This window comes from Homo sapiens, chromosome 12, assembly GCF_000001405.40.
Source record: "Homo sapiens chromosome 12, GRCh38.p14 Primary Assembly".
Lineage (NCBI taxonomy): Eukaryota > Metazoa > Chordata > Mammalia > Primates > Hominidae > Homo > Homo sapiens.
Genome location: NC_000012.12, coordinates 46,791,074 through 46,811,097, shown reverse-complemented (window position 1 = coordinate 46,811,097; position 20,024 = coordinate 46,791,074). Strand labels below are relative to the sequence as shown.

Below are 20,024 nucleotides of genomic sequence, written 5' to 3'. Positions count from 1 at the left end.
TTCTGCCATAATAGAAACTGATTATCTCACAACATTGTAAAAAATATTATATGCCCATTTTTCTCAACAATATTTTGAGATCTATTTAGAATATCTCTTGCAGATGGGGAAAAAACAATCATTTTTTTCCTATTCTTTCAGAACAAACTGGAGATGTATAATTTTATCTAGATTCTAAATAGCTCATAAATGCCCATTCAGAATCAAAGATTTTTTAAGGGAGTTGATTGTTTGCTGGTTAAGTACCCCAAACTAGAGATTTAGCTAGTGGCTAATGCCCAGGATTTGACTAACAATTGTTGAAAAACCTAAGATAGGAACTCTTTGTTTTGTTGCTTTTGTTTCTAATTATGTTTATTCTTTTTTGATAATAAAAGTAATCTGTATTTTTTAAAGGTTAGCCGGCAAATATAAATTAAATAAAATAGACACTATCTACATTTCCACATTCTGGAAATAACCACGATTAACATTTTGATATACATGATTTCTCTTTGCATATATTTTTATATGTTATGTATATAATTTTTATTTTATTTTATTTATTTATTTTTTATATTATACTGTAAGTTCTGGGGTACATGTGGAGAATGTGCAGTTTTGTTACATAGGTATACACATGCCATGGTGGTTTGCTGCACCCATCAACCTGTCACCTACATTAGGTATTTCTTCTAATGTAATTATCCCTCCCCTAGCCCCCTACCCACCGACAGCCCCGGTGTGTGATGTTCCCCTCCCTATGCCCATGTCTTCTCATTGTTCAACTCCCACTTATGAGTGAGAACAACATAATCTTTGAAACAACATAGGGACCTTATTATTATTAGATTTTCTATTTCACCATTTATAACTTATTTTAATTATAATTGCCCTATGTCCTTATTTTCTTGAACACAGCATTTGTAATTACTGCTTAATACTGAAGTAAGGTAGCTCTCTCTAAAGCAACTAATGGGTCCTTGCATATAGCATGAATATTTACCATTTCACAATTGGCTCTGAGGATAAGAAGGAACATTTTAATATATAGCAGGACCCATCAACTGATAATTATTAGAATGTCTCTTGCTGCAACCTCATACACAAATAAGTTTTAAAGAAAGATTTTGAATGCACAAATTGAATCAGTGCCTTAAATAAAGATTTTCATTCATTCAGTGTTTATATAGTACCTATTATGCACGAGGCATAGTCTAATATTAATCAAGGTAAACAAAAAAGGAGAATACTTATAATTACTGCAAATCGGCCATCTAAACATACTTGAATCCATCCCCAGACCTAAATATACCATCTGTCCAAAGTCTGCCCTCTGCTGCTGTCCCACCAAATGAAGTCAAAACATTTACTTTTCTGAATAGAAATTGCATTCTATTCTGAATTTATTTTTCCTATATTTAAAGAAAGACTGGTGCTACCAATTTTATACCCAGCCTTCCAAGAATTATAATTCCTAACTAAAGCAACCGTAAAGTACAAAAAGCTCAGTTAATGTCCCATGCTGGGCACTGCAAACTCTTGTGGTGAAGAATGGGTGCATTAGGCAACAAGTGTCCCTGTGAAGGGCTCTGACTACACCATGGCCCCACCTGGGAGTTGCTTGGAGTCCAGCAGCAGAAATAAGCTTTTCAGGCAGAAGCCTGCCCTCTTCTCTACTGAGGAGACCTGACTCGGAAATCCTCCCGAGTTCATTAAAAAGTGAATGAGGAAATGTCGATGACACTATTATTTCTCTCTCTCTGCTCAGATTCCTTTGAAAGACATTTTCTAGTGAACATGCATTTCTTATTTCTAACATTCTGGATAGGATAGTAAAAAGGCCAGCCTGAACATATCTTTAGTTAGTAGGGATCCTGATTCTTTGAAGCATATGTTAGCATTATCACCATTTAGGAGGGCCCCCTTGCTTTTAAAGTCTATCCACACAGCATATTGGGTCACAGCTTAAACTACCGAAAGTCCAAATTTAAGCAAGATGATAACAGGTTTACAAAGTCCAATCACTAATGAAATTACAAAATCAAAATGCATCAAAATTGTTCTGGTAGGGACAGGCAGGAGTATGAAAGAGAGTCATGGAAATTAATATGCTGTGATCTAAGAAGAATGTAATTTTTTAAACTATCAATTGCTATGAACTAGAGAGTCAACCCAGCCCAGCACTGCCATAATATGTATTCTGTATGAAGAACTTACGTTAACAAGGTGAGTCAGTTTTCAGGAAGTATTGTTATACTTATTATAATTATACATCTCTTAGCAGTGCTGTTTTCTGAAGCAGGCATTTTAAAGGCTAGAAATTATTCTTTAAAGCAAGCTTCTAAAAGTTCTAATTTAACATTTAGAATTTCAGTACATTATTTAAGTTGTAATCACCCATAAGTCCTATAGACCTTGTTACATTACATTTCTGCTTAGGTGGAAGCCTGAAATGAACTTGTGATACTTTTCATTGCATCATTTCAGTGTGGGATCAATAAATGAAGTGGACCAGAAGGATCTTTTTCAAAGGTGAAAGGCAGAGGCAAAATATAGACATCATGGGCTGTTGTCTAACCAGATTTTTTTTTTAATTTAATTTTCTTGTTTTGTCAGCTGAGGCTAAAAGCAATTTTCTATTTAGGTCTGTGGCAAAGTCAATAAATTTGTCAACCTGAACCAAACTTGTTTGCTAATTTTGCAACATAGTAGTTGACTATTCAAACATTTCCAGAATGCTCCATTATATAACTGAAAAGGTGGTTTAGGTTGGGTTGAAGAGAGGGGCGTGCGATCAGCTAAGCAATTTCCTCAAAACTTGTGGGTCATTGCATTTCACTTGGTGGGGTTTCTTAGAATGGAAAATCAGAGCCTCTCCCAGGGGCCTGGGCTGAAAGCTCTTTGGGGCTTCATATTTGGGAGGGTCTCAAATTTAGATTTTTTGAAGGTATCATCAAATGATCCTAATCATGTAGTCATTTGTATTGTATGTGTGTTAAGATGTTGTTTTGTTAAATAGAAATGTTTAAAATGCACTACATTTTAGTAATCCCATTTTGGATTAAAACAATGCAAAGATATATATGTATATTTGGTGTCTTAAAAAAATAGAAGTGGCTCAAGCTTCCACGGAAATCTGAGAGGCTTTGCCAAAGCAAATTAGAAAATTATTGATCTTTACTTCTTTGTTTGCAATTAATTTTATATGTGGCTTTGGGGGGGGGGGTAACATTTAATTATCTCTTCTTTTCTTTCCAATTTTTTATTTTGTAAGTTGAGGTTAATAATTACAGAACCATGTAAAGAGATGCCTATAGTGTACCTAAGTTTTCATTACTTTACAAGTGATACAAATAATATGACAGCTCAGGTATAGAAGTGCTTGACTCCCCTTTATCATGGCAGAGAATTCTGCTATTTGAATAATTTAGGAAGATTTCTGTAACATTTTTCTATGGATTTTCTCTATTTTTCTTTTTTTGCAAGTATCTATATTAAAAGAGAAATAAAATGAAGAATTTGAAGTGCCAAAACAATGACATCAAAAAAGATCACAAATTCTCTTTAACACTGTAAGTCTGAAAACGAAAAGGCAGACAGCAAATCCATATTAAAGAGAAGTAATCAAAATATTGTTTCTTTCTGCAGTCCTGCTAGTATTTTCCACTTTTTAGGAAAGACCTGGGAGGTCAGATAGACATTTACCTATGATGTGATTAAAAAAATCAATTAGATCTTGAGTTTATGAATCTACGGTAAAAGGTAACTTCTTGGAGAATAAGGCATCATAAATACAATGTTGTATAGAAAAGTTAAAAAGAAATGGAAGCAAGAAAAAAGGGAGATGACCTAAAGGGAAATTGAAGTGAGAGCAAAGAAAAGCAATGACTACAGAAACAAAGGCATTACAAAAGTATTAAAAAATACATAATTTGTTTCTTAGTCATTACTGTTTCTAAATGTCTTCTTCCAATTTGGCTACAACCAAATTTTATTTTCAAATATTATTTCGTCCTATGACTAAAATTAGAAATTTAGGTATAGTCATGACGAGAACAACAGTTTATCTCTCCCACTGTCGTTGCAAAATACCATGATGGTCTAAGATTTTTTTTTTTAATTGTTGACTAATTTTAACTTGATCCCGCTGGAACTTTCTCTTTAAGGTCATTGTTGGAGGTAGAAATTTTAAACCATATAATCAATGATTTTAAATATGTATAAGAAAATTTCTTACTCAATGTACAGGTATAATCTGAATCACTGTATTTTGAGCCAACATTCTTGTATTTTCAATAGATAACATTACATTGGGATGTACATTCTAAGACCTTCTCTACACTATTTGAAGGTGATAGTCATAGATTGATGAAACGGGTGTTGAAATGGATGAATTATCACCATACGTTCTCTTTCTCTATGTAAGGAAAATGAAGATTTTATTGCTAGTTCTTGTTTTTCATAAAATGATCACTTAAAATTCATAGCATTGTGAGCTAGTGAAAGTGATAAAAAGAAATAGGAATACAAGAGAAAGAGTCAAATTACCATTGGTTCCAATTTAAATTTTGTCCATCTACCTTTCCTTCTGCCATTATTCTCAGATAGGCAAACATCACCAAACCCAAACTATCAGTCAACCTTCCTACTGGCCTCCTTGTACCCACCTCCACCTCCACCACCACCTCCACACCATCATCTCTCCTACATTTTTACTATGCTGATTTTCTTACTTTCTTCAGAAGTTTTCAAAAGATCTTCATCACTAAAAATCTGAGTTCCCTAGACTTAACACCTTTTGCAGTCTGTACTATTCCATTCTGTTCTCCTATTCTGCTCCAGAAGGTCTCTACTGGAGCCAGAATGATTCTCACTGTTGCCAGAATATACTTCTGGCATTTTAATTTTTAGCTTTTAATTTTAATCCAACATGCTAATTTACTGTAACTATTTAGTATACTTGAAGATCAGAATTACAAGGGTATTTTTCATCTAGGATGTCTTTCCTTTTCCTCTCCACCTACTAGAATCTCACATGGACTTTTAATAGCCGGCTCAAGGTCTGTGGGCTCTCTGAAATCTTGAATGTCCTCAGTCCCTAGGGACTCCTTATTTCCTGGAGTCCTGGAGCATGCTGTGCAGTTCTGCTGACACTAAGTAGGTTCTAGTCTGGGAAGCCAAGTCTCCCTTTATGTGGATGTATCTTACCCCCAGCCCCTACCCCTATAGACACACAGACCAAATCTCATATATCTATTCATGGTGGCACATATTTTAATTTCTTATGTGAAGGTCAAGTTAAAGTGTTTGTCATCTCATTCCCAGACTTGCTTCATTATTCACTACTTACGTATTTTTCATTTTATTCATTTTTAAGGTCTGCCCATATTCTGATGATTAGCTCTTTCTACTATGGTACATGAAACAAGCATGAGCCTAACTGAATGTTGCATGTGCCATGCATTAAAATTCAAAACAGCACAAGTCTATTAGCAAATGCGCATGAGATTACATTGTGGTATGATTTTAATAAATATTCAGAACATTAAATTATAATTATAATGATTAAGTCTGTGTTTTGCTTATGAAAGAAAAGTTATCGTGAGTTTTGTTGAGAGCAGACCATATATTTCTTCACTAATTTTGGCCACATCTGAAAATGTCAAATGATCTAGGGAAAAAAATAGTCAAATGATGAACCAGATACTTAATTGTTTTAATTTATTAACTTTTGCCAAATTAGTTTTCATGTGTATATATCTGATTTTTAAGTCAGTGTTAGAAAAGTTTTGTAATAAGAATTTTGCTATGTAGAGTAGGTTTAAAAGAAACATGATTAAACTCTTCAATAGAAGTCTCTTGTGTGTGCTTTTAATTTTTATCCAATGCTAATTTACTATAATTATTTACTATACTTGAAGATCAGAATTACAACAAAGCCAAAGCTTACAATTTTAGGAAGAGTAAAACTTTAACGATCTATACATTTATCTCCACCCGATTTTAAATGATATTATAATTTAATATCAAATTAACATATTGGAGTGCATTCATTCTTGTTTGATTGACCCACTATTAAATGAAATTTTACAAGAATAGATTTGATTTTCTAACAATTATTGCAATTTTTGCATGGTTAATCTTTTATTTATCTGGTAACTTTGCAAACAGAAAGAAATCTTAAATTGGAAACATCACTATTAAATGATGGAAATAGAAATTTTAAAAGGAATTTTTTTGAGATTTCCCTACCGTTAAAATTAGTACATTTGTTATTATCATTGTTCCCCTAGACCACAATACTTCTCGTCTGATAAAAGACAAAACTATGGGGTAACTCTAAAAAATAGACAATGAGCTAAGAGACAAGTAAAAGTAAGTTTGCAATACTATACAGTTAATAGACCAAACGGGCACATTTGGAAAGGAAAAAAAATTGTTAACTACACATTTTGTTTAATGTTTAATGTCTTGCATCGACTTAAGAATATCTTACTCGAGGAGCAATGTTTAGTTTTCTTTTATAGAAATAGGAATTGACACATCTGTTGTAATCTAGCATTGCTTCTGATTGGTTATTAGATTGTTCATTCATGTCATAAATACTTAAAAGGCAAAGAACCCTCAATTCTTGATTCGTTTGTGATTTGTTTTTCTTTCCTCACTTTCAGAATAGTTTCTAGTTGATACATTTTAATAGCAGAATAAATAAATGATTTGCCAACATATAAAATATGGCAGAGTTAAAAACCCTACCTCTGACATGTTGAGAGCCAAGTAGATTTTTTTTTTAATGCAGAAAATACCTACTTAAAAATTCTTTTAAAATGCCAAACAGCCTTTTGCCTACTCAGCACACTGCCGTTGGTGTAGGAGTGGTGGCTGATATTGGCCTGTGATTTCCAACTTCATGGCATCTTGAGTAACTGTACCGTTTGGAAGTATTTGTCATTCTGTAAAATTTTCTCTGAAAAGATCAACAACTTAAAAGAAAATAACTCTTTCACTATGTAATCAATATTTTCTGGAGATTTCGATTATGTTTCATTAAACAATCTGACCTCATAACTATTGTTACTGTATTGTTTTGCTTTGACTTCAATTCATAAGTCTTTTGAAAACGGAATATTTCTGGATTCATCAGTCAACCAACCTAGTAAAATCTTAATAGAGAATGACACCAACCAAGCTAAAACTTTCAGTGATTATTTTATTGTATGAAAGCCAAAATTCTAAAAGCAAATAGAAATTGGTGTAACTGATGTTTAATCCAAATGTACAACAGTAAACTGACTTAGCTTCTCTTTTTTTTTTTTTCAAGAGCTGACGCAAGTTGGACAGAAGGAGGTGTTGGGGTGAGGTGGTGGTGTTGATTGGCTTGTCTCGTTCACTCCCACTGGTCTTTAAATCAATGTCTAGATCTCTAAAGTTTCATATAAATCAAAGCTGTTACACGGGTCTGCCATTCCAAACAAGTCAGGAAAGCCTGCACAGGACTGGATAAATAATTAAGGTACAGCTGTTTTTACATGAATATTTGCAGTGTTAAAATAATGCTTACTTTCTTATTTTTATTGTGTTGTTTGTTTATTAATTAAAAATTAAAATGTTTGAAAATACTACTTGGATAACTTTTTTTCCTCATTTTAGAAATGATCAATTCAGTATAATGTCAAACATTGAAATTATTTACCCAGGTCCTGATTGCAGTTTTCTTTTACAGATAATTTTAGGTTTAACATAAAATTAGGACAGTGAATAATAAGAAAGGGAAACATTGCAAATACAGCCGGTAAAATGTGTTTAGTTATTTATATCTCCAGGTTGATCATGGACTATAATGAAGAATTGACATAATCTGTCTTAGGAAAAAATATGAAAGTTCAGAAATACATTCTCAATATTACACTATTAAAGATTTTTGTTTATCTTGAAAACAAATAAAACCCCACAAAATTTTTGACTAATCAAAGAAGGAACATCACTTCAGTGCAGCAGATGTGAATGGCTAAGAGTTTGGGCTGTACCATTATCAAATGAAAAAGAAAAAATGTTGTGTCTTACCTTTTCTTCTTAATTTGACCATTTTAGTTAAGGAGTATTTTTAGAACAAAGTTACTAAAAGAAACTAGGGAATTGAATGGAATATAAGCATAGCTTTAGATTTTGAAGGAGTAGAGTCAATTATCTAAAAGTAGAGGTGTTCTCCTCAAATTTATTAATCAGACAGAGGAGAATTCCCAGTGGATTTAAGTATCCCTGTACTTTGAGTATCTTACAGAGCATATGTGGATGGTTTTAGTTAAATGCCCAGGGTATAGTAAAACTAAGAGTGTTTTGTAACTCAGTGGAAGAATATTTGAATTGATGATATATATCACATTCATGAACACTGGGCTAAAAAGTTTTAGTTTTGACAAAGTAAAGAAATTTGGGTGTGTTTTTAATAAAAGATTGCCATTTAGTTTATAGTTCAAGATCCTCCAGTTTCGATTTATATTTAGATAGCATTCTGGGATTTTCTTGAAAGTATTTACATTTGTACTCCTAAGAAGTATATAAGCAACATTTAAGATCTGAAAAATGTAGCTTTAATGACTCAACTTTTGAGTTTTCTTTAAACATGTTATACAGTGTGCTTTAAGGTTATTGAAGCTGTTTTTTAGTTATGTGAGTTAGTTTAAAGAAAGTGAAAATAATTATTCTAAGAAGAAGAAAAAAGTACCTCTGGGAATGGTCCAGTATCTATTATAATGAATGGAACTTACTGCATCCAGAACTCATGACAGATTAAGTATCATGCATTAAAATGTGGAGCAGAAAGAGTTCACTATGTTAATATCATGTATGCTACATATCCCTGTGCATTCTGGAAACTACTCTTTGGGAAAATATGAACTAAAATTTATGTGGCAATTTATGTTTAAGATGACTATGTTTTCTTCTAAGAGCAGAGCTAGAAAGTCTGTAAACAAAATCGCATATTCAAATCTTATGACCAGTCCTTTATACCTCATCAAATGGCTGCTTTAATTCTTATATTAGCAAGCATGTAATCTTTTCAGAAATGGGAAAAGACCTTAGTATTTGGTTATTTATCTTAACTTTTCTAGTTCTTCCTAGATATTATCTGTAAGCTATATCTGAGTAGAGGAAAAAAGGAAATGCCAAAATATTAGCACTAGCAATAGGAAATAGTCAAGTACAGTTCTGCTGTTATTGTTGGTTTCTTCTTTAAGAGCTACCTCAGACTGAATACTTTTATGGAAGCTAATTTCTGTGAGAACTCATGCTATAGACCAACAAGCGCTCTCACTGACAAAATATGACAAGAATGGCATTGTTGGGGAAATTAAGATAATTTAATATAAAGGTAATATTAGACTGATTGTAGTGTAAAAGCTACATTCATTTATCTATGGTACAGGGTGGATGTAGATTTAAATAAGTTCCTTGGATACAAGATGATTTGGCTTTTAGAAGTTGCATGACCCTTGCTCAACCAAAGGGTAAATGATAGGTGAGGCTTTCTGCTACCTAAACCTAAATTTCAAAGTGAATTTGTCAATACTGGGTAGGCATGAAAGATGAGACAGATAGCAATGCTGGGAAATCTGCTCTGGCTATATTAGCTCCCTTTTTCACTTTCACTTATCAGGTAAAATAAATGTTTACAGTAACTAGGGAAGGTCAGAACTTTTGCTTCTCGACTCAAGGACTGTTTTGCTTTCCAGACTTGATGTCTTTCTTTAAAGTTGAACCATACAGGTAAAATTTAAGAAATTTACTGTTTTGACACCCTTACACCCTGAACTTCTTAGGTACCCATCCAAAGAACAAGACATTACAATGTTTAATAATTAGAATTTGGATATAAAGAATTAGCTACTCAGAACACTTAGATACCTTTTAATTAATATGATAGAAATGAAATTATTCTAATATAATAATATTCTAAATACTTGGTTTCAAGTTTTGACTTTGTATTTTCATGAAGAGTCAATTGAATTAACAACGCAGTTGAGCACTGCTGTGCTAGAAAATCCAGTCTGTTTCTGCGAGACCTCTTTGTATTAGAGAGAAACTTAACTTTAATGAGGAGAAAGGCTAGACTATAGAAAATTCTGTTGAACTAAATTTGACTTTTCTTTTAGAAGCATTTTGAACATTCCCTGTGCAACAAAGCGATTTTTTCTCCTGACAATCAGAGGAGAGAATTTTCATTTCATTTTGAAGCATTATCCTATAAAACTATAATCAAAAAGCATACCTCTATCTATTACTATAACACAGATCATATCAAATTGCATTTATCTTAGTGGAATGTAACACTAGGCACTGTGCTAGATGCTAGGAATATGTAGAATCCACAACCCCAGCAGCATTCCTATTCTCATGAAGCTTCTGCCTAAGACAGTTAATTATCAAATAGGCAACTAAAAGAGTAAGTAAGAAGTGTGATAAATACTACGCAGGAGAGGAGAGCATATAGTGGCAGATCTAGTGTAATGTGGGAATGTGGGGTCAGAGCAGGACACTCTGACCAATTGGCCTTTAAAGATTTTCAGGTTGTTTTAGTTAACATTGGGAGGGACCTGGGCTAAGAATGTGGGGAATGGCAGTCCAAGCAGAGGGAACAGTGCCTTAAGAGGTCCTGCAGTGGCAGTGGGGAAATGAAAGAAGCCTAATATATTCAGTGAGTGAGGGGTGATCGGCTTCAGTATGAGACTAAAGAGCTATGTCTGGGTCAAAGTATATAGACCTTCCAGTGTATTAGGAAATTTGACTTTAGTCTAAAAGTGATGACAAAATCACAGTAGGGCCTTCAGTAGCGCAGTCGTTTGGAATAACATAGTGGTCATGGAGATAGAAGTGGATGAATTTTAAATAAATGTTGAAAGAAGGACTGATAGGACTTGGTGATACGTTGGACATGAGTAGGAGGTGAAGGATAGAGAATGGGACAGCCAGGTCTACCCAGTGAGTGGTTGGGTGAATGAAGGTAGCATGTTCTGAGATGGCAAACAGCAGAAGAATCTATGCCTATGAAAATTTTATGTTTCAATTACAGTGTTTGCCAGCAATATTCTTTTCTATCCTACCCATGCAATAATTCTTTGATTAATTCAATGCACATTTATTCCAAGAAAAAGGTAAAAAATGTTAATTATATTATGCTTTAAGAGTTTGCTCAAAATCTGTTTGTTTTAGTAGGCTGAGTTCCTCAGGTGCAAGGAGTCTGTTTTATTCATCCTCTGTGTCTTCCATAGTTTCTGATTAAATTTTAGCAATTATGATATAGTCTAAAGGCTTCAAGGTATATACTTTGTGCTGTAGACAGATGATTCAGAATATTTAGTTTCTCATAATGTGCTAATTCTTTTTGAATTGTGCATTTAACCATTGTTCCCTTAAATAGATCAGTGATATAATCTTCAGAGTTAAGATATAAGCCATGAAAAAGTGTCTCAACTTTTGTGAGAGCTCCCTTGGCCAAGGCAAAAATAGAATACATTTTTTTTTGAGATGGAATCTTCGTTGCCCAGGCTGGAATGCAGTGGTGCAATCTCAGCTCACTGCAACCTCCGACCCCGGGTTCAAACCATTCTCCTGCCTCAGGAGATTAACTGGGACTACAGGCATGCGCCACCATGCCCAGCTAATTTTTGTATTTTTAGGAGAGATGGAGCTTTGCCATGTTGGGCAGGCTGATCTCAAACTCCTGACCTCAGGAGATAGACCCTCCTCAGCCTCCCAAAGCTCTGGGATTACAGGTGTGAGCCACCGTGCCCATCCCAATAAATATTTTATATATGTTAAAACAGCATAAAATTAGGTCTTAATTTGTTCATTTGTGAAGGGGCATCTACCTCACTCACAATGTTTGTGAGAGTTTTGAGAACTGTAAAGCCCTCTTTTGTAAGTGTCTAATTATGCATATGAAATATTATGTATGTTTGCAGCTACATAAAGACATCAATTCAATTCTGATTACTGGAAGAGAGAAAACAGATCTAAATTTATTGAAGGCCTACTATAGGCCAAACTTTGACACTCATTATCTCATTTAAATTCTCACAACACTGCTTTGTGGTAAATAATATTAACTTCATTTCATAGAAAATGGAAAAGTCAGAAGTTAGTTAATGCAGCCAGGATTTATACCCAGTTTCGCTTACTGCCAAAGACATAGTTCCTGTTCCCTGATTAGGCTTTAGTTCTCTGTAGTAGAGATGGCAATACAAAGGTGGCATAGCATGAAGGCCACTCAACTTGGTGCCTCCATTACCTCATCTGTACAATGGGAATAAGAAAAAAAATTGTACTCACCTCAGAGGACCGCTCTGAAGAATTGATAGATGTAAGGCCTTAAAACAGTGGCTGGCATGTGGTAAGTGCCATATGAGTGTTTGATATATCTTTTCTAAAAAAATTCTGGGATTAGCATGGCTTAATGCAAATGAAATGAATGAGGTTCCTATTAATATACAAAGTAGAACAGACTTTAACTGAAGCTTTTGGACTGCAGACATGTATACTTACAGCAGCAAAGATCTCAGCCCTGCTGCTCCTTCTTCAGAGAAGCCTTCCCTGATCCCCCAGACTAAGTTGGATACTATGAAAGACACTGCTATGGCCCCCTAGAGGGGCTGGATAAATTAAGGATGGAGTGGAGGAGGGAGGGGAGCATGCCAGTCACTGTGACCCACATGTGCAAATGACCTGAGATGTAGAGAACACGGTGGATTTCTGGAATGGAAAGACTAGTGTAGCTAGAACACTAAGGTGAGGAGAGTGTGGACGGAGATGAGACCAGAGAGGTGGGTGGACCAGGCAGAATCTTACCAGGCATGTTGAGAATTTTGGACTTTATCCTCAGAGTAAAGGGAAGACATTAAAGGGTTTTAAGCAAATAAATGATATGATCTGTGTTGTTGCTGTTATGTTTCAAAGATCACTCTGGGTATTGGGTAAAGAATGAATGGTGGGGGTGGTTAGGGGAGGCAAAAGAGAATTGAAGATCAATTAGGAGATTTTTACAGTAGACATGATGGTAGCTTGGACAAGAGTGAAGGTGAAAGAAATGAAGAGAAAAAGACTAACTTGAGAAATACTTCAGTTTATTGTAAAAGTCAACCAGACTTTGTAAAGAACTGGATGTGGAGGGTAAGAAAGAAAAATTTATAATAGAAGGCTCTTATGCTTTTGACTTGAATAATTGGATAAATGGTGACAACATTCTTTGGAATGGAAACATTGGAAGAAGAGGGCCTATCACAAGTTAGACTTTGAACACATTGAATTTAAACTGCCTTTGAGATATATAGATGACATTTAGGCCCCTGGACACATGGAACTTGAGTTCCCAGGAGAAGCCTAGGCTGATGTAACTTGAGGAGTCTTTGGTATATGTATTCATCAGAGTTCTCCAGAGAAACAGAACCAACTGGAGATAAATAGACAGACAGGTATAGATGTATATAGATATAAGATGACATTTATAATGGGAATTGGCTTTCATGATTATGGAGCCAAGAGATCTCAAAGTACAGCATCTGCAAGCTGGAGAACCAGGAAAGCTGGTGGTATAATTTAATCTGAGGCCAAAGGCTGAGAAACAGGATGTTGCTGGTATAAGTATCAGAATTACGAGGTCTGGGAAGCAGGAGCTCCAATGTTCAAGGGCAGGAGAAGGCAGCAGAAGATGGATGTCCTAGCTCAAGCAGAGACAGTAAATTTGCCCTTCCTCTGCCTTTTTGTTCTATGTGGAACCTGGAGTGTTTGGAGGATGCTCACCTTCAGTGGTGAGAGTGGACCTTTTTTACTCAGTCTATTGATTCAAATGGTAATCTTTTCCAGAAACACCCTCACAGACACACCCCAAAATAAAGTTTTACTTGCTATCTTCCCATCCTTTAATGCAGCCACAATGACATATAAAATTAACCATCACGTTATATGAAGTCTTGGGAGTGGACTGGAAGAATGGGGCTTAGGATCTAGCTTTAAGGAAGTCAAGCAATGAAATGTCACATATTTTTAAAAGGACAAACCACAAAAACTGTGAAAAGCAATAGTGGTGTCATCAGCAAATAGAAATTTTTGAGAATTCCTAGAAGGCAGAAAGAAGATAGGGTTGGAAAATCTAAGAGAAAAGGAACCAAGATAAGTGTGCTTTTCCCATAGGGAGCCCTGCAGTAGCTTCAAGTTAAGTCGATAAAGACAAAGAGGAGGCATAGATCATGGGCAACCAGTGATCAGGTATCCACCAAGGAACCTCAGTTTAGACATCATGGTCTGTTTGGGATACCATTTTTGACTATAAGATAAAGCTGTGATCCAATCTGTAAAGAAACCTCAAGGGAGGATGCTAGGATAAGCATTAGGGCCTCTACTGCAGACAAAGAGGTATAACAAACAGGAATGGAAGCTCTACCAAAAAGAAGATACATTAAAATGCTTCACCCCCGGAGTAACTGCTCCTAGAGTGGCAGCTGTGTCTGGGAGTGGGATGCTCCTCCCACAGACAAGCAGCAGAAGAGCCACTTACACAGAACCTACAAGGGAGCAGCCCATCAGTGAAATGGGCCCACACAATTTCAGAGAAGCTCTGAGTACCAGCTGTCCAAGCTAATCGATGCGCTCTGTCATTCACAAATATGAACAGATAACCTAGGAACACTTGAAACTAAGGAAAATGAGCAGCATGGAAGAGAAGGACCAAAGGGAACAAACAGAATAACTAACTTCAGAAGAAACGTATAATTTAGGGAACAAAAGGAACTTCTGAAAACCTCACATCAATATCCTTAGAAAAATCTGAGAAAATATAGTATCCATAAAACAAAAAAAGTGATATGAAAAAAGAGAAAGAGGATAAGAGCAAATTATTAGAAATTAAGAGCATGATTGAGAAAAATAGCTGACAAGTTGAAAAATGAAACGGATATAGCTGAAGGTGAAATTTGTTATTTTGGATGTGACATTGAGGAAATATTCCTGAACATCGAGCAGTAAGATGAACAGATCGAACATAAACAGAAAAGCTTAGCAATATGGATCAAGAGGTCCAATACCTGATTAATAAAAGTTTCAGGAGTAAACAAAGGGGAAGAAATAGTTTTTTTAAATAGTAGAACTTTTTTTATTTTTAGAAAATGTGTCTTCTATAGAAGAAAGACAAGCCTTTTGATTGGGCCGTCTGCATGCTGAGTATGATGAATTTTAAAAGCGACTCACATCTAGTCACGTCGTGATGAAAGGATAAGGATAAAAATTCTGAAATCCTCAGAAAACCATCGATAAATTATCTATAAAGAAATAAGAGCCAGACTCATCAATAGAAGCTAGAAGAGAGAAGTTTCTTCAATATTCTGAAGGAAAATGCTTCTGAATCTAGAATTCAAACAATTAACAAAGTTTGAAGGCAAAATAAAGAATTTTCCAACATGAAGCAACTCAGAAATTCTATTTACAGACATAGGCTCATTGTGTGAAAAAAGTTATTCAAGGCATTATTTTAGCATAATGCAAAATAAACTGAAGAAAGAAGATAGAATGCCGTTCAAGAAACTAGCAGCTGAGCAAGACTCAGAGGTTGGAGGAGGAAGCCATTCAGAATGAGAAAGAGCATAGAAAATTTGCTTTCAAAGTTTTGGTAATATAGAATTATATTTCACTTATTATGTAGTCAAATACACCACTTTGTCTTTAGGGCATACTATTTATACAGTGATAATACTGTAATTGCTGCTTATTGGTTTTCCATGTTTAGAAACAACCTACAGGCAAGTTATGACACTTGTTTCACAGAACAAGATGAAAATATTATGATTCTCAAATTGTAAAAGTATTTTATTAACTAAAATAATTAGGAGTGTAGGAGAAGGAAGGAAAGAAAGAAAAAGTATGCTAATGTCCTTATTTTTTATGGGTAACCAGTCTAAAATCAGTAAACCAAGTCAAAAAAGCTTTAGTGAATTATTCAGATCTAGAATGGCTAACTTTAAGTAACAAGCTAAAAACAGAAACCGTCAATAGTGGTTGCTGCTGGGAAGTGAGACTGGTACTGTGTGAAGAATGAGGAAAACCTTTGTACTCATTTAGTGAGTTTCTTTTTTTTTTCTTTTACCCATATGCATGTCTTACTTCTATTCTCTCTTAGCTTTTAACCTGCTTCTTTTCATCTTTTATGTATATACATTTAGGCTGCCTTATATTAATAATAGTTTCATTTTTGTTCCTCCTGCTTAAAACACTGTGTGCTATTTTTTTAAATTCTGAGAACTGCTTTCTTTATTTCTAGACAATTCTCTGCCATTATCTCTTTCTGTTTTGTCTCACCCTAGTCTCACAATTCTCTATATTGGAATGACTATCAGTGTATATTTGAACTTGTAATTCTTATTTTTTCCCCATTCCTCTTAACTTCTTATTTGTATTTTTCTTTTTTTAATCTCTTCATGCTATAATTTGAGTGATTTCCACAGATCTGTCTTTCAATTTTATAAGTCTTCCTTCAGCTGAGTTTTTTTAAATTTCAATGATTCTATTTTTTTCTTTTTTTTAAGAATTCCTTTTTTTGACTCTTTTTGCAACAGCCTGTTCTCCTTTTATATTCCTTTATAATGTTTTTATTCTGTGAAAGTTATTCTCTTATTTTGAATGTTTTCTTTCAAAATGTCTTTCTTTTTATTAATTTAATGTAAAAGTCCCTTTTAAATTGCTTTGTTATTTGTAGTTCCTTAGATGTGAATTTTATCATTTCTTGTGCCTACTGGCACTCTTGCTAGTGAGTTTCCATGTGTGTTCTATATGTTTTGTAATTTGAGGATGTGAACTTTTCTCAAGTGTGAGTTGCCTTTCAAAAAAGTACTGCCATGGCACTGGGTTGTGGAGGTATTCCCATGTGGTAGTTTCTGTTTGTCAGAGGAATAGCACATTTTGTGACTTCTGGAGCAATTTTTATGTTAGTTTCTCTGCTCAAGATTTCCTTATCAAATGGGTATTGCACATGTCATGACCACACTTTTCAAGAATGATAGTGTTTCTCCTAATACGATGGTTCAACAATAATTGAATGAATCTAATGGTAAGAATTTCAGAAGAAATTATATCAACTACATATAGTAGATTCAAGGCATTTTTCAAAAACACAATGCCAGTCCACCCCTTTTCACTATACAATTGAGGAAAATGAGGTCCCCAAATGTTAAATGACTTCTGCTGAGATCCAATGAATTAAAGGCAGAGCAGAGGCTAAAATCTAGATCTCTTTGTTGTTAAAATACATTTTAATTTGACACAGATGATGAGTAATGCTGACCCAGAGGTAAATCTGAACTTTCTTTTGTTACTATTCTTAACTTTGGCTTCAGGATCCAAGTGCCTAGAAAGTTACTTCCTAAACTTGATCCTCACCTATGTTGCATATTATCAAGCATTTGGTGGTGTTAATTCTTTCATGTCCAATTAAATTAAAGCAGTAATTTTCTTTCTAGTTATTGCTAGTAGAGACACTGGTAGATTCTGCCTTGGTAGACCTTCCTCTGTCAACAATTTACTTTTGTCTTCCTTTCTTTTAAAACATGTATCCCACTCACAAATACCTAAATTTCCTTGAAGACTGCTGCCATGTCTTAAGATTTCTTTTTTTTTCCATAGTGACTAGTAAAACCTGCCATTTTCATTATACATAGGCACTCTATAAATATCTGCTAATTTAGCAATTATTAGTAATTTCCTTTCTTCTCTTCCATTTCTTCCTTTCTTGTATTGGGTAAAGGAACATTTCAGGATTTTCTTATGTAAAGTTTTCAGGAGTTTCTTTCCTTCCTCCCTTTTACAGAGAGCATACAAAATGTAGATGATTCATATTCACTTATTTCATTTAAATAAAATTATAATGATGTATGTTGTGTTCTGTTTGCAGAACAGAGTGTTCTGAACATCAACACAAAGTGGAAGAACCTTAAGCTGAAGGTACAGTATATTATTTACACTGAAGGGGCTTGTGTGTGGACAAGAAAGCGCTGACAGCTCAAATGGATCCCATGGAACTGAGAAATGTCAACATCGAACCAGATGATGAGAGCAGCAGTGGAGAAAGTGCTCCAGATAGCTACATCGGGATAGGAAATTCAGAAAAGGCAGCAATGAGCAGGTATGGGGTTAAAAATTACTATGTTCCATGGAAAAATAAGACAGGATGTGGACATGGAAAACAGGGTCTTGATGGGAAGAACTGGATTTATTACAGGTAAATTTGTGATAACAATGATATTGATGCTAGCACATCAATTCCCTGGTCCTGAAATACAGTGATAATGTCAATCTCTTTTGTGACTGATTTAGAATTGAGGTTACAATGTCTTTGTCTCCATTAATAATGTGTAATAATTTTAATTATTTTAGCCTATTGCTCCTCTTATCTTTCTCAGATTCCTCTTTGAATGTTGCTACACCTCCTGGTTTCTGTAGGGATTCTTTTCTCTCTAAAAGTATCCTCTGGGCAAGCTCACTCACAACTACTATGGCCTCACCCTCCAAATATATGCCATATACCCAGCCTGTTAAGTTTCTCTACTGAATTTCAGATAATTATATCTGAATGTCTACTGCACGTCTCTACTGGACCATTACTGTGTCTAAATTGCCTCATTTATAAAGTTAAACCTGTAATGTCTAATACTGAACTCCTATCTTTCCCTCCAAAACCTGCTCCTCCTCTAGTAATCCCCATCCTAGTGAAAATCACTGCTATCATGTAGCAACTCACTCAAAAGCCCCTAGGTGTAAACTTTGACCCACATAGCCAACGGTCAGTCATATCCAGTTGGTTTGACCTTATTAATGCTTCAAATACACCTACTTTTCTGTACCCATTCTACTGTGGTCTTACGTTAGGCCTACATTAAATGTGAGACAGGGAGAGAGCCCTGATTTCTCTCCCTGTCTTACATTTTGCTCTCCTCTGTCTAGCCCTCTACACTCCTGCAAGAGCAATCTCTTACAATTGCAAATTGAATCAATTTCCATCCTTAGATAAAGCCCTTCTGCACCTCTCCAATAGCCATAAGAGAAAGTAGATTACACACACTGCTGGGCACGTAAGGTCCTTTGTGATCTGTTCTTGACCTGCCCCTCCTGTCCTGTTTTTTGCCCTCTCCCTATTTGTTACTTGTTGCCTTCACTCATTCTGCTCCAACTGCCTGGAATCAGTCACCTGCTCCCCCTTTCTCCGTGTTGACACCTCTCATCCTTCAAGAATCAGCTCAACATCAGGTCTCCTATGCAGCCTTTTCCAAATTACTCTACTCCCCCATGTAGAAGTGACTGCCCCTCCTTCATGTACCCTCTCCCTGTGCAGATGTTAATTACGCCACTACTACAGGTTAATGGCCTCTGTGGTCCCACCACCTGCCACATTGTCTGGTGCATAGTGAGTGCACAATAGTTATTTGATAAGTCAATTGATTTCCCACAAAATGTTATATCAAATTGTACATGATTTAAGATGCTCAGAAGGGAATTTTTGACCAAATCTAGGCGTGAAATAGAGAATATTGTGCTCAAACAAAGACTTCTCATTTTATTTACAACACCCAGGAAAATCCATCAGGAGAAACTACCGTTCTTCCTTCAAGTAGCTCAGTGCAATGAACTTTAGGGATGTCGGACTAGAGAGGCCACTGAGATGTAAATTATAGCATTTTCTAAATTAGGTGACCCTTGAAGAAACACTAGGGTGCTAGAAGACAGGGCTTTGGAGTCTGCAGAGTAGTTGCCTGACTTTAGAGAAGCTGTTTGTCCTCTTTGAGCTTCAATGGAAAATGTAAAATGGCAAACCAACAGCTGCTTTTCAAGGATGAGATGGGTGACCAGAATATAGATGACATTCAATACTTTTTTATTACTTCTCCTTCACTGCATTACCCTCAGTAAATTGATTCAAACCTGAGGATGTTTCTGAAAGGCATGCACACAAATATGAGCTCTGCCGAGGTTGACAGAGTTAAAGGGGACACCCTCCTAAGAACTGT

General features: G+C 35.2%; 1 protein-coding gene across 3 annotated transcripts in view; it reads left to right on the top strand.

Annotated features, from left to right (window-relative positions):
- Positions 1-20,024, top strand: part of SLC38A4 (solute carrier family 38 member 4) — a 67,671-nt gene that overhangs the window by 21,334 nt on the left and 26,313 nt on the right. For 2 of the 3 annotated variants that reach the window (XM_005268997.3, NM_001143824.2), the window contains exon 2: positions 17,915-18,145. In XM_005268997.3, coding sequence (XP_005269054.1) covers positions 18,027-18,145 — 119 coding nt within the window. In that variant the 5' untranslated portion in view covers positions 17,915-18,026. Of the gene's footprint in view, positions 1-7,303; positions 7,496-17,914; positions 18,146-20,024 lie in introns of all 3 variants that reach the window. The other variant, NM_018018.5, reaches the window with a different exon arrangement.